Source organism: Homo sapiens, chromosome 20 (assembly GCF_000001405.40).
Source record: "Homo sapiens chromosome 20, GRCh38.p14 Primary Assembly".
NCBI classification, from domain to species: Eukaryota; Metazoa; Chordata; class Mammalia; order Primates; family Hominidae; genus Homo; species Homo sapiens.
In genome coordinates this window covers 53634893-53650695 of record NC_000020.11, presented here as the reverse complement: position 1 = coordinate 53650695, position 15803 = coordinate 53634893, and the positions used below count along the sequence as shown (strand labels likewise).

Below are 15803 nucleotides of genomic sequence, written 5' to 3'. Positions count from 1 at the left end.
GCATGAGCCACTGCACCCGGCCCAAATATTATATTTTATCAATTCTAAAGTGCACTTTAGTTTTTACATTTTAATATAACTAAAATCAATATGTATTTTGCAGTCAATGGCATCTTGCTATTATTTGAAAACATTTATTTAATAGTCCGTAAAATAATGGAACATGCCCAGATGCAGTGGTTTATGCCTGTAATCCCAGCACTTTGAAGGGTCAAGATAGGAGGATCGCTTGAGCCCAGGAGCTCGAGACCAGCCTGGCCAATATAGTGACAGAGACCCCAACTCTACAGAATAAATAAATAAGTAAATAAAATAATGGAAAATCTCACAAATGGTGACGTTTTAGGTTCGACAAAATACAGTAACTAGCCCATTTAGTTTTCTGAAATTTTGATGTTATTGCTTAAATATTTGTTCTGTGGTACACAACCGTAGGATTAATAATATTGATGAAAATAATAAAAGAGTAATAAGCATGTATTGAGCTCTTCCTGTGTGAAGTTCTGGACAAATCCTCATAAAGCCTTAAAAGGCAGATACTAAGCTGGGCGCAGTGGCTCATGCCTGTAATCCCAGCACTCTGGGAGGCCAAGGCAGGCAGATCACGAGGTCAGGAGATTGAAACCATCCTGGCTAACATGATGAAACACGGTCTCTACTAAAAACACAAAAAATTAGCCAGGCATGGTGGCACGTGCCTGGAGTCCCAGCTATTCGGGAGGCTGAGGCCGGAGAATTGCTTGAACCTGGGAGGCTGAGGTTGCAGTGAGCCAAGATCACGCCACTGCTCTCCAGCCTGGGCGACAGAGCAAGACTCTGTCTCAAAAAGAAAAAAAAAAACAAAAACAAAAACAGGCAGATACTAGGCCAGGCACGGTGGCTCATGCCTGTAATCCCACACCTTGGAAGGCCCAGGCGGGTGGATTATCTGAGGTCAGGAGTTCGAGACAAGCCTGACCAACATTGTGAAACCCTGTCTCTACTAAAAATACAAAAATATTAGCCGGGCGTGGTGACAGGCGCCTGTAATTCCAGCTACTCAGGAGGCTAAGGCAGGAGAATCGCTTGAACCCGGTAGGCGGAGGTTGCAGTGAGCCAAGATCTTGCCACTGCACTCCAACCTGGGCAACAGAGGGAGACTCCGTCTCAAAAACAAAAAAAGGTAGATACAATCCCATTTTATCCCATTTTGCAGATTAAGCAACGGGAGCAGAGAAACTATTGCAGGGCTCACCTTGCCATCCTTACCCTAATATCAGTTCTGTCATTATATAAAAGTTTGATATTTTGTTCATCATGGGCTGTTTGCATTTATTTTGATTTTTTTTTTTTTTTGAGACACAGTCTCACTCTATTGCCCAGGCTGGAGTGCAGTGATGCAATCTCGGCTCACTGCAACCTCCATCTCCTGGGTTCAAGTGATTCTCCTGCCTCAGCCTCTTGAGTAGCTGGGATTACAGGCACGCACCACCATGCCTGTCATTTTTTTTTGTATTTTTAGTAGATCCGGAGTTTCACCATGTTGGTTAGGCTGGTCTCGAACTCCTGACCTTGTGATCTGCCCGCCTCAGCCTCTCAAAGTGTTGGGATTACAGGCGTGAGCCATGTTGCCCGGCCTATTTTGATTTTTTTTATTTTTCTTTTTGAGATGAAGTCTTGCTGTGTCACCCAGGCTGGAGTGCAGTGAAGTGATCTTGGCTCACTGCAACCTCTGCCTCCCAGGTTCAAGCAATTCTCCTGCCTCCGCCTCTTGAGTAGCTGGGACTACAAGCGTGTACCACCACGCCTGGCTAATTTTTCCATTTTTAGTAGAAACGGGGTTTCACTATGAGGGCCAGGGTGGTCTCAAACTCCTGACCTCAAGAGATCCGCCCACCTCGGCCTCCCAAAATGCGGGGACTACAGGTGTGAGCCACCATGCCTGGCCTATTATTTTTTTTTGAGTCAGAGTCTTGCTGTGTTGCCCAGGCTGGAATGCAGTGGCTCAATCTCGGCTCACCACAACCTTCGCCTCCCAGGTTCAAGCGATTTTCCTGCCTCAGTCTCCCGAGTAGCTGGGACTACAGGGGCATGCCACCATGCCCAGCTAATTTTTTTTTTTTTTTTGACATGGAGTTTTGGTCTTGTTGCCCAGGCTGGAGTGCAATGGCACGATCTCAGCTCACCGCAACCTCTGCCTCCTGGGTTCAAGTGATTCTTCTGCCTCAGCCTCCCGAGTAGCTGGGATTACAGGCATGCACCACCATGCCCGGCTAATTTTGTATTTTTAGCAGAAATGGGGTTTCCTCATGTTGGTCAGGCTGGTCTCAAACTCCCGACCTCAGGTGATCCGCCCGCCTCGGCCTCCCAAAGTGCTGGGCTTACAGGCGTGAGCCACTGTGCCCAGCCTAAAGTATTATTTATATAGGCCCAGTGCAGTGGCTTATGCTTGTAATATCAGCGCTTTGGGAGGCTGAGGTGGGAGGATGGCTTCAACCCTGGAGGTTGAGACCAGTCTGGGCAACACAGTGAGACCCCATCTCTATATAAATAATTTTTTAAATAAAACATTGAAATAATTAATTAATTAATAATTAGCCAGGTGTGGTGGTGCACCCCTGTGGTCTTAGCTACTCAGGAGGCTGAAGTGGGAGGATCACTTGAGCCCTGGAGTTCTAGGCTGCAGTGAGCTATGATCGCACCACTGCAACTCCAGCCTGGGTGACAGAAGAAAAAGAAAAAAATCGTATATATATGTATAATTTATGTAAATCACTGAGTTTTTGGCATCGTCGAAATATTGTGCCTGGCCCTGGGTCAAGAACAAAAATTATGATTCTGGTTTTCTGACCTTAGGCCCCGTTTCCTTCAGAGCAATTATCACGATTATTAATAATGAACTTGTTTGCTCTCTTGATCGCTTTCAGCCTTTCTTGACTAAAACATACACTCCAGGAGAGCAGGGAAAATGTTCATTGTCAGGGGTTAGAACATAACCCGCTAACAGGGCACGGTTGCTCATAACTATAATCCCAGCACTCTGGGTGGCTGAGATGGGCGGATCACTTGAACCCAGGAATTTGAGACCAGCTTGGACTACACAGCAAGACCCCCATCTCTACCAAAAAATAAAAAATTAGCCAGTTGTGGTGGCACATGCCTATAGTCCCAGCTACTGGGGTGGTTGAAGTGGGAGGATCACTTGAGCCTGGGAGACAGAGGTTCCAGTGAGCCAAGATTACGCCACTGCACTCCAGCCTGGGCAACAGAGCCAAAAAAACAGAACCTGCTTTCATACTTTTCAACAAATTAGCCTCGAATACCTCCGAGATGTCATATTAGGTGCCAAATACAGCTGTGAGCAGGTTTCTGTCCTCTTGGGGTTACTGTCTTTGTATAAAAAAGTAAAAAATAATAATAATAAATCCATGGCCAGGCGCAGTGGCTCATACCTGTAATCCCAGCACTTTGGGAGACCAAGGCAGACGGGTCACTTGAGGTCAGGAGTTCCAGACCAGCTTGGCCAAGCTGGTGAAAGCCTGTCTCTACTAAAAATACAAAAATTAGCTGGTCATGGTGGTGCACACCTGTAATCCCAGCTACTCGGGAGGCTGAGGCAATGAACCCAAGAGGTTGAGGCTGCAGTGAGCCGAGACCGTGCCACTGTACTCCAAACCTGGGCAACAGAGTGAGACCCTGTCTCAAAAAAAAAAAAAAAAAAAAAAGAGAGGGAGAGAGAGAGAGAGAGAGAGAGAGATGAGGTCTCCTTACGTTGCCCAGGCTCATCTGGAACTCCTGGGCTGAAGGGATCCTTGGCCTCAGCCTCCCAAAATGCTGGCATGGGGGAGCCACTATGCCTGCTGCTCTTGGGAATTCTTGAGTGTTGCCTCTGGTTAAGTTCTACTTAGAAGTTAACATTCTCCCCAAGGCCAGGAGTGGTGGCTCACACCTGCACCTGTAGTCCCAGTAGTCCCAGCTACTCAGGAATCTAAGGCAGGAGGATCAACTGAGCCCAGGAGTTCAAGGCTGCAGAGCTATGATCATGCTGCTGCACTCCAGCCTGGGCGAGAGAGTGAGACCCTGTCCCTATTAAAAAAAAAAAAAAAAATTCTCCCTTACAAACAAAATGCTCATTGACTGTAATTAGAAGTGCCCACGCTGGGGACTGGTATGGCACAGAGCTCTACTTTGAACTGATTTTCAGCTGGAGTGGTGAGCTAATGATATCTCGCTCCATTCTTTTTCTGCCCTCTTTCTTCTTTTTTTTTCTTTTATTTTTTTTTTGAGATGGCGTCTCGCTCTGTCACCCAGGCTGGAGTGCGGTGGTCCCATCTCAGCTCACTGCAACCTCTGCCTCCCAGGTTCAAGCGATTCTCCTGCCTCAGTCTCCCGCGTATCTGGGATTACAGGCACTTGCCATCATGCCCAGCTAAATTTTTTTTTTTCCTGTAGAGACAGGGTTTCACCATTTTGGCCAGGCTGGCCTCGAAACTCCTGACCTCAAGTGATCTGCCTGCCTCAGCCTCCCAAAGTGCTGGGATTATAGGCGTGAGCCACTGCGCCTGGCCTCTCCCCTCTTTCTTCCTCTGCCTCTACCCCATGATGCACCAACCAGTATTCAGGACCCAATTTTATTTTGTGTCTGCTCTAAAAGCTAACTTTACCAGGGGTTTAGGCCATTAAAACACATTATTTGAAGTTTGCAGAATGCATTTACATTTTATGATCATTACAGCTTCAAAAAAAAAAGATGGTAATGTTGGTTTCCTTTCACATTGACCAACTTCTCTTCACATAAATACAAGCCAGTTGAATGGCATTCCAATATTACATAATTATTTGCACTCTAACTGAAATTACGGAATACTGAAAAAGTAGATTGGGATTATTTTAAATTGAAACTGTGCCCAAAGTTTTATTACTTATCAACTTTCTCTGAATGCTATATCATGACAATTATATTTTATTGTCATGAATTATGTTAACTTCATATTTCACAAAGCACACACTACATGTGCAAGGCCTTTGCTGAACCCAGGGAAAGGAAGAATGATAAACAGAAGCTGATCTTTGCCTTTGAGTTTACTTAACATATAAATAGCAGGTATCTTCCAGATGCGAGTAACTGTACTAAATACTTTAGATTAGGGGTCAGTAAACATTCTGCAAAGCATCAGCTAATACCTGTTTTAGGCTTTGAGCGCTAGAGGCTTTGTCTTAACCGGAAGTAGAACAGAGGCCATTGCCAATATGTAAATGAGTAGGCTCAACTGTGTTCCAATAAAACTTTATTTACAGAAATAAGCAGCTGCCCAGATTGACCTAGATGGCTGAGACCTGCTTTCAATGGATTGTCATCCATCTGTCACAGCCCACTCTTTTTTTTTTTGAGACAGAGTCTTGCTCTGTCGCCCAGGCTGAAGTGCAGTGGCATGATCTTTGGCTCACAGCAACCTTTGCCTCCTGGGTTCAAGTGATTCTCCTGCCTCAGTCTCTAAGTAGCTGGGATTACAGGTGCGCGCCACCATGCCTGGATAATTTTTGTATTTTTAGTAGAGACGGGTTTCATCATGTTGGCCAGGCTGGTCTTGAATTCTTGGCCTCAGGTGATCTACCCATCTCAGCCTCCCAAAATGCTGGGGTTACACTGCGCCCAGCCGCACAGCCCACTCTTAAGACTAGCACTATTATTATTATTATTATCATCATTTCATTTCATTTTATTTATTCTTTTGAGACATAGTCTCATTCTGTTGCCCAGGCTGGAGTGCTGTGGCCTGATGTCGGCTCACTGCAACCTCTGCCTCCCAGGCTCAAGTGATTCTCATGCCTCAGCCTCCCCAGCAGCTGGGATTACAGGCACCCGCCACCACACCCAGCCTGGGCGACAGAGAGAGATCCTGTCGAAAGAAAGAAGAAAGAAAGAAAGGGAGAAAGAAAGAGAAAGAGGGAGGGACAGAGGGAGGGAGGGAAACCACCTGAATATTTGTGTTAGCTTAAACTCAATTTCAGCTGTAATCATGGAAATCAAATTTATATAAGAAAATATCAGATTAATTCAGTTTTCATACACACATTCACTCGAATTTTTAAATTTCATCAATTGATTTTAGAAAAGAGCAGCATAGTGAAAAAAAGTGAAGAACTATATTCTTGCCAAATTTATACCTAAATTTTACTGAAATATTAATTAGTTTTTTTTGTTGTTGTTTTTGTTTTTCTGGAGACAAGGTCTTGCTTTGTTGCCCAGGCTGGAGTTCGGTGACAATCTTGGCTCACTGCAGCGTCAACCTCCCAGGCTCAAGAGATTCTTCCACCACAGCCTCCAGACTAGTTGGGACTACAGGTGCACACCACCACAACCAGCGATCTCGGCTCACTGCAACCTCTGCCTCCTGGGTTCAAGCAATTCTCCTGCCTCGGCCTCCCTAGTAGCTGGGATTACGGGCATGCACCACCATGCCCAGCTAATTTTGTATTTTTAGTAGAGACGGGGTTTCTCCATGTTGGTCAGGCTGGTCTCCAACTCCCTACCTCAGGTGATCCACCCACTTAGGCCTCTCAAAGGTGCTGGGATTACAGGTATGAGCCATTGCGCCTGGCCCATTTTTCATAAGAATTATAAAATTGCATTGTTTCTGACATGGGCGTAATCTATGATCTGCCTTCACCAAAAACATGCAGAGGAAAATAAAATACATATTTTTTATTTTTAGTTTCTCTGCTCTTTTGGCTTTATTGTTTGAAATCTTTTTATTAGTAATAGGTATGTTTGGTGTTCACTTTTTCCATACAGTGCATTAATGTGTGGTTTAAATACAAATTTAAGTGCAAAATTATAAGACAGTAGCCTGGAAAGGCCCATTTGGGCAGATGTGGCTTATTAAAAATCCCAGCTGGGTGCAGTGGCTCACCCCTGTAATCCCAACATTTTGGGAGGCTGAGATGGGCAGATCACCTGAGGTCAGGAGTTCAAGACCAGCCTGACCAAGATGGTGAAACACTGAGTCTACTAAAAATACAAAAATTAGCTGGGCATATGCTGGGCACCTGGAATCCCAGCTACTCAGGAGGCTAAGGCAGGAGAATCCCTTGAACCTGGGAGGCAGAAGTTGCAGTGAGCCAAGATCGTGCCATTGCACTTCAGCCTGGGTGACAAGAGCAAAACTCGGTGTCAAAAAAAAAAAAAAAATCACAATTTTTGGGTTTCTTTTAAAACTTAAAAATGGAGGATGAATTTCCAGCATCCTGCTACTCGGACGGAGGAAACAGAACAGGAACAAAGCTGAAGTGAGCTAGGCAGGCCGAGGGAACCTCTGGCTGCCTCCCATTGCTGCTGCACGCAGGTAATGCAGCGGTTCATAGCCTGCCTTCCAGCCCTGGTGTTAGACGACTTTCAGTTACAGTATTGTGGTGAATCATTTCCTTCCAAGGCTCAGGGTGATCTATCACACGGGCGTGTTGTCTAGATTTTAACAACAATATGAGCAGAAAAGTTCCTCATTCCAGAAATGCAAAACAAATTACATAAGAAGTGTATTCTTTAAAGGAAAAAGCAAAGTCTACATAAAGGCATAATGAATAGGAAGAACAATTATGCGTGGGAAAACAAAGCTCTTTAAAAAAATCATCAAAGAAATGAGGTTTTTCTTCCCTTGTCTAATTTATAACAGTGACGTTCCTTTTGAAGACAGGAGCAGGGGCATAGGAGCTGGAGTATCGGCCTTAGCTGTGCCTTTTGTAATGTCACTAGGGACAGGGAGGGGGAGGAGTTGTGACGGTGTTGGAAACACTGGCCCTGGTGTATTATTGCTTGCACTACAGGAGTTTTTGGTTGCCAAATCAATACCTTGGTTGTCCTTGAAAAACCCTGCAGGTCTGTTTTTAATAGCTTGCTACACCGGTGAAATTACCCTGATTACTTAGCAAAGCCTCACCTTTGATCCACTGATCTAGTTAGAGACCTGTGTGAGAGAGAGAGAGCCTGTGGCCCCAGAGATATTAACAAATTAGAAGAAGAAGGAAGGGAAAACTGCAACTTACAGAAATACAGGAAGTCTGAGGTTTGTCAGTTGTTGAAACATTTGATATTGTCTTTTAAGAGTCTCCGTGGTCTGAGAGCTTTCTTTGGGATAACAAAATACTAACATTAAAGAGCAACGTTCGGGCACAGTGACTCACGCCTATAATCCCAGCACTTTGGGAGGCCAAGGTGGGTGGTTCACGAGGTCAGGAGTTCGAGACCAGCCTGACCAACATGGTGAAATCCTGTCTCTACTAAAAGTACAAAAATTAACCGGGCATGGTGTCATGTGCTTGTAATCCCAGTAGGAGAATCGCTTGAACCCGGGAGGCGGAGGTTGTAGTGAGTCGAGATCGCGCCACTATGCTCCAGCCTAGGCGACAGAGCAAGACTCTGTCTCAAACAAACAAACAAAAAAAGAGCAACAACAATAACACCACAGCAAAGCCACCTGCTATTCAAAATCAAGAACAGTGGATCAATCCAAATTAAAGAATGGTGGCTGGTATTGTTTTCCACCTCACTCTCCCAAGAGATACATATGCCCAAAAACATTTCCATTTCCTGTTCATGCAACAGTGAAGTGAAGGGTCATTTTCCTTCCAATTTTTGTACTCATTAGACAGAGTGCCTTTTAAGCATTTATTTATTTTTAAATTAACAGACTTTATTTATTTATTTATTTTTGAGAGGGCGTTTTGCTTTTGTCACCCAGGCTGGAGTGCAATGGCATGATCTCGGCTCACTGCAACCTCTGCCTCCTGGGTTCAAGCAATTATCATACCTCAGCCTCCTGAGTAGCTGGGACTACAGACGTGTGCCACTAGGCCTAGCTAATTTTTTTGTATTTTTAGTAGAGACGGGGTTTCACCATTTTGGCCAGTCTGGTCTCGAACTCCTGACCTCAGGTAATCTGCCCGCCTCAGCCTCCCAAAGTGCTAGGATTACAGGCATGAGCCACCACGCCCGACCCAGACTTTATTTTTTTAGAGGAGTTTTAGTTTACAGAAAATTGACCAGACGGTGTGACAAGTTCTCATATGCCCTCTTCTCCAACTCCCTCCTTCCATCTGTACAATTCCCCCTATTAGTAACATCCTGCATTGATGTGGTCCATTTGATACACTTGATGAACGAATAGTAATACATTATTACTAATTAACGTTTATAGTTTACATTACAGTTCACTCTTTGTGTTGTACAGGACTATGAGTTTTGACAAATGCATAGTGACATGTATCTACCATTACAGTATCATACAGAATAGTTTCACTGCCCTAAAATACCCTCCTTTTATATTTCAACAAGCTGCCCTTCCAAGTTCTGTCCTTTCAACATAACTGCTCTTTTTTTTTTTTGAGACAGAGTCTTGCTCTGTCGCCCAGGCTGGAGTGCAGTGGCTCGATCTCGGCTCGCTGCAACCTCCGCCTCCTGGGGTCAAGCGATTCTCCTGCCTGTCTCCCGAGTAACTGGGATTACAGGCACACACTACCACACCTGGCTAATTTTTAAATATTTTTAGTAGAGACAGGGTTTCACCATATTGGTCAGGCTGGTCTTAAGCTCCTGACCTTGTGATCCACCTTCTTCGGCCTCCCAAAGTGCTGGGATTACAGGCGTGAACCAATGCACCCAGCCCATAACTGCTCATTTTTTCTCGTTTTTCCTTCTCCAAGGTGCTTTTATTTTAGGAATAGATGAAAGTTGATTCTCTTTGTTGGCAGAGACCTACAGAAAGTCATTTTGTGGCCAAGCATAGTGGCTCACGCCTGTAATCCCAGCACTCTGGGAGACCGAGGCGGGTGGATCATCTGAGGCCAGGAGGTCGATACCAGCCTGGTCAACATAGGGAAACCCCATCTCTACTAAAAATACAAAAATTATCAGGTTGTGGTGGTGCACGCCTATAGTCCCAGCTACTCAGGAGGCTGAGGCGGGAGAATCCCTTTAACCAAGGAGGCGGAGGTTGCAGTGAGCCAAGATTGGACTCACTGCACTTTAGCCTGGGCAACAGAGCAAGACTCTGTCTCAAAAAAATAAAGAAGGCCGGGCGCGGTGGCTCACGCCTGTAATCCCAGCACTTTGGGAGGCCAAGGCGGGCAGATCAGGAGGTCAGGAGATCGAGACCATCCTGGCTAACACGGTGAAACACTGTCTCTACTAAAAATACAAAAAATTAGCCGGGCGTGGTGGAGGGTGCCTGTAATCCCAGCTACTCAGGAGACTGAGGCAGGAGAATCGCTTGAACCCAGGAGGCAGAGGTTGCAATGAGCTGAGATCATGCCATTGCACTCCAGCCTGGGCGACAGAGTGAGACTTTGTTTGGCTGCAACTTGGATATCCCTGTAAAGTCTTCCATCCTGGTGTTCGTATCTTCACCCATGCAGAATCAGACCAAAACTTGCCTTGCCAAACACCCAAGAGAAGCCCCTTCACCTGCAAAGATAGGGCAGACAAGGAACTGGAAAGGGACTGTCTAACCATTGCCTGTTCCTCCCGTCTCATCTCACTTTATTTTATAGTTGTCTATCCTGATCGTCATATAAAACTGCCCAAACTCAGGAATGTTTTATCTTGCCCTCCTTGTCTGGAAGGTGCACTCTCTGGTTCCCAAGTCCCCTCTGTTACTGCCTGCATGTCTAGTGTTGAAGCCTGTGACTGAGCCCAAAGCCTTCTCCTAAACTGAGTGTTTATGGGGTACATTGCTAGGCTTTTGGGTAGAAAATGCAGAATGTAAATAGCAGAAAATTATTGTACCTCCCTTATTTACTCATTAAATTTAACACATATTTGAGTTTCTATGATGTCAGGCTTTGCTCAACGGTAAGACAATTTCCGTGCCCTAGTGGAAGCTTACAGTTTCACCAAAGAAGACAAACACTAAACATACAAATTTATAGGTAGAAAGAAAATAAAACAGGGTCATGGACACAAGATGAATGGGGAGCTGTTTGGTTAAAGGAGTTGGGGAAGGTCCCTGCAGTGCTCATATTTGGACCAAGCTATGAATAAAGTTAACCAGCAAGCCATGCAAAAGTCTATGAGTATTCCAGGCAGAGGAGACTGCAGACAAAGACCCCAGGGCTGAATGAGCTGGCTCGGCCAGAAGAAAGGAAAGGATAGTGCAATGATATTAATAGCTGATAGGCCAGGAGAAAATTGGTAAGACTAGTGCTCTGGAAACATTGACATGGTAAGAACTTTAGATTTTATTATGCAAAAAGATGAAAGCCCACTGGAGAGGTCATCTGTGGGATGGGGTAAGCAATAAGCATGGTATGAGTTACATTTTCTCTTTCCCATCTGCATCCCTTGTCTCAGTGATGTCGTCCAGTGCTATGGCCCTACGATGCTGACACCCACATATGTATCTCAAACTTAGACCTTTCCCAGCTCTTGCTTTCCATATCCAGCTACTTACTTGACAATTCCACTGGAACATCCAAAAGGCATCTTAAACTTACTATAACACAAACTGAGTACCTTGTCTTCCTCCCACAGTCTTCTCAGTTCTGGTAAAGGAGAGTCCAGCATTTATTGGCTTAGGCCAGAAACCTCGGAGTCATCCCTGACTGCTCCCTCATGTATCTAGTCTAGAGCAAATCCTGTCTATTGTACCTTCAACATGGATGTAGAATCCCACTAGATAAATTCCAGCTCCTCTGTCAGCTCCCTGGCTCAACCCCTCATCATTTGTCATCCAGATTATTAGAATGCCTTCATTGCTAGTTTCACTGTTTCCATTCTTGCCCTCCCTTTCACTCTATCTTTCACTCTATTCTTTTTATTTTTTTTGAGATGGAGTCTCACTTTGTTGCCCAGGCTGGAGTGGAGTGGCGTGATCTCGGCTCACTGCAATCTCTGCCTCCCGGATTTGAGGTATTCTCCTGCCTCAGCCTCCCAAGTAGCTGGGATTACAGGCAAACACCACTACACCTGGCTAAGTTTTGTATTTTTAGTAGAGACGGGGTTTTGCCATTTTGGCCAGGCTGATCTCGACCTCAGGTGATCTACCCGCATTGGCCTCCCAAAGTGCTGGGATTACAGATGTGAACCACCGTGCCCAGCCAGTCTATTCTTAAAATAGAGAGATCCTGTTAAAATAAGCCAGACCACATCACCGCTTGCCTCAAAACTGCCATGGCGGGTGGGTGCAGTGGCTCACAGCTATAATCCCGGCACCTTGGGAAGCCAAGGTGAGAGGATCACCTGAGGACAGGAGTTTAAGACCAGCCTGGGCAACGTAGTCAGACACTATCTCTACAAGAAATTTTAAAATTAGCCAGGCATGGTGGCTCATGTCTGTAGTCCCAGCTACTTGGGAGAATGAGGTGGGAGGATCACTTGAGGCCAGGAGGTTGAGGCTGCAGTAAGCTATGATTGCACCACTGTGCTCCAGCCTGGATGACAGAGCAAAACCCTATCTCTCTCTCTCACACACACACACACACACACACACACACACACACACACACACACACCTGCCATGGCTCCCATCTGCCTCAGGCTAGGAGCAAAGACTGTGCGTGATCTGGTCCATCCTTGCTTTCTGACCTCATCCACTCTGCTCCAGTCATAGTGAGTTTCATGCCTTGCCAAGAACACAGCAGACATCCTATTTCAGGGTCTTTGCATTTGCTGTGACATCTGCTAGAATATTCCCCCAGATAAATGCATGACTGGCTCCCTCACCTGCCTCAGGTGTCTCTTCAAATGACATCTTAGGGCAGGAGTCAGCGAATGGTTAAAAACCAGAGAGTAGGCTGGGCGTGGTGGCTCATGCCTATAATCCCAGCACTTTGGGAGGCCAAGGAGGGCGGATCACCTGAGGTCGGGAGATCAAGACCATCCTGGCTAACACGGTGAAACCTCTTCTCTACTAAAAATACAAAAAATTAGCCAGGCCTGGTGGCACATGCCTGTAATCCCAGCTACTCAGGAGGCCGAGGCAGGAGAATCGCTTGAACTTGAGAGGTAGAGGTTGCAGTGAGCCAAGATCGCACCATTGCGCTCCAGCCTGGGCAACAGGAGCGAAACTCCCTCTCAAACAAACAAACAAACAAACAAACAAACCAGAGGGTGGATATTTTAGGTTCTGTGGGCCACAGGGTCTCTGTGGCAGATACTCAACTCTGCCTTTGTCAGGCAAAAGCAACCACAGACAGTAAGTAAACCAATGAGCATAGCTGTGTTCCAATAAAACTTCATTGATACCGGGCACGGTAGCTCACGCCTGTAATCCCGGCACTTTGGGAGGCTGAGGCAGGTGGATTACCTGAGGTCAGGAGTTCAAGACCAGCCTGGCCAACATGGTGAAACCCCATCTCTACTAAAAATAAAAATTAGCCGGGCGTGGTGGCACACCCCTGTAATCCCAGCTACCCGGGAGGCTGAGGCAGGAGAATTGCTTGAGCCCAGGAGGCAGAGGTTGCAGTGAGCCGAGATCATGCCATTGAACTCCAGTCTGGGCAACAGATCGGGACTCAGGGTAAAAAAAAAGAAAAAAAAAAAAAAAAGAAACTTCACTGTGGGCACTGAGATAGAATGTCACATAAGTTACTTTCAGGTGTCAGAAAACATTCTTCCTTTGACTTTTTTCAACTATTTAAAAATGTAAGACAATTCTTAGCTTGCCATTGTACATAAACAGGCAATAGGCTGGATTTGGCCTCAGTCCGTAATTAGTTGACCCCCTGCCTTAGGGAGTACTTCCCTGGCCATGCTCTCAAAAATTACAAACACACACACAATCCCTATTCAACCTATCCCTTTTCCCTTTCCTTTCCTTTCCTTTCCTTTCCTTTCCTTTCCTTTCCTTCCTTTCCTTCCTTTCCTCCTCCTCCTTCTTCTTCTTCCTCTTTTTCTTCTTCTTCTTCCTCTTTTTCTTCTTCTTCTTCCTCTTCTTCTTCTTTTTTTTTTTTGTTTTTGAGACAGGGTCTTGCTCTGTTGCCCAAGCTAGAGGGCAATAGCATGATCATGGCTCACTGCAGACTCAACCTCCTGGGCTCAGGTGATCCTTCCACCTCAGCCTCCCGAGTGGCTGGGACCACAGGCATGTGCCATCAAGCCTGGATAACTTTTTAAAAATTTTTGTAGAGACAAGGTCTTGGTACATTGCCCAGGCTGGTCTCAAACTCCTAGCCTCAAGCAATCTTCCTGTCTCAGCCTACCAAAGTGCTTAAATTGCAGGTATGAGGCACTGTACCTCGCCTTTTCTTTTCTTCCTTTTCATTTCATTTCTTTTCTTTACTCTTCTCTTCTTTCTCTTTTCTTTCTGTGGCCGGCCTTTCCTTTCTTTTCTTTCTTTCTCTCTTTCTTTCTCTTCCTTCCTTCTTTCCTTCCTTCCTTCCTTCCTTCCTTCCTTCCTTCCTTCCTTCCTTCCTTCCTTCCTTCTTCTTTCCTCTCTCTGTCTCACTCTGTCATCCAGGCTGGAGTGCAGTGGCACATTCCTAGCTCACTGCTGCCTCGAACTCCTGGGCTCAAGGGATTCTCCTGCCTTAGCCTGCCCCTGAAGTAGCTGAGAGTACAACTGGGCGCCAACATGTCTGGCTAATTTGTTAATTTTTTTTTCTTTTTTTTTGTGGCCGAGCTCAGTGGCTCAGGCCTGTAATCCCAGCAATTTGGAAGGCCAAGGCGGTGGATCACCTGAGGTCAGGAGTTCGAGACCAGCCTGATCAATATGATGAAACCCCGTCTCTACTAAAAATACAAAAATTAGCCGGGTATAGTGGCATGCACCTGTAATACCAGCTACTAGGGAGGCTGAGACAGGAGAATCGCTTGAACTGGGGAGGCAGAGGTTGCAGTGAGTCCAGATCATACCATTGCACTCCAGCCTGGGCAACAAAAGCGAAACTCTGTCTCAAAAAAAAAAATTTTTTTTTTAAGAAATGGAGTCTTGCTATGTTGTCCAGGCTGCTCTTGAGCTCCAGGCCTCAAGCGATTCTCCCAGTTTGCCCTACCAAAGCATTGGAATTACAGGCAGGAGCCACTGCACCCGGCCCTATCCTTCTTTCTTAACAGCTTATCATCATTTGCCTTTCTCTATATTTAACTTACTGTCTTGTTTATCTTTTTTTTACTGACCCCTCCCAAACCCCTAAGCTGTTACCTCCATGAAGACCAAGGTTTCTGTCTGTTTGCAGTAATGTGTCCTGACGTATCTGGCATATAGTGGGAACTCAACAAAGATCAGTGGCATGAATGGCACTGTGAAGAGAAGAGCCTGGAGGGGAAGTTGGGGTGGAGCTGCAGAGAGTGCTTAGGAGGCTACTGCTGTTGTGATGATCAACTTGATTCTTCAGCCTGGAGCCTTGAGCCTCGTCTCCAAGGGGCAAGGCGGGGAGAGGAAGGTGCTCTTGTTGGGTCCACTGCGCCAGCATCGTGCTTCAGGCTTCACATGTGATGGGCACAGAATACTTTTCAGCTGAGAGCAAATTTAGGCTGGAGAGCAGATGTTTTATGGATGGTGACATCATGTGGTGGGCAGAGAGGCTGTGGTTCTCAGGCCTGGGTCTGCATCAGAATAACTTAAGGGAATCTTCCAGAAAGAAATTAAGTCTCTCAGGTTGCATGCCACACTTTCCAGAATCAGAATCCCTTCAGAGTCAGACAGCTGACAGATAAAATCCACCTCTACCCAAGACCGACCATATGAACTCGGGCAAGTTACTTCATATTTCTGAATGTTTACTGCAGCCAGGCACGGTGGCTCACGCCTGTAATCCCAGCACTTTGGGAGGCTGAGGAAGGTGGATCACCTTAGGTCAGGAGTTCGAGACCAGTCTGGCCAACATGGTGA

At 45.8% G+C, this 15803-nt stretch overlaps 2 annotated features.

Annotated features, from left to right (window-relative positions):
- Positions 7278–7327: an enhancer, noted in NCBI's record as "active region_18125". NCBI's record gives its function as "activates an Ori minimal core promoter by ATAC-STARR-seq in GM12878 lymphoblastoid cells {active_cell/tissue: GM12878}" and the evidence as "EXISTENCE:reporter gene assay evidence [ECO:0000049][PMID:35858748]".
- Positions 7368–7417: an enhancer, noted in NCBI's record as "active region_18124". NCBI's record gives its function as "activates an Ori minimal core promoter by ATAC-STARR-seq in GM12878 lymphoblastoid cells {active_cell/tissue: GM12878}" and the evidence as "EXISTENCE:reporter gene assay evidence [ECO:0000049][PMID:35858748]".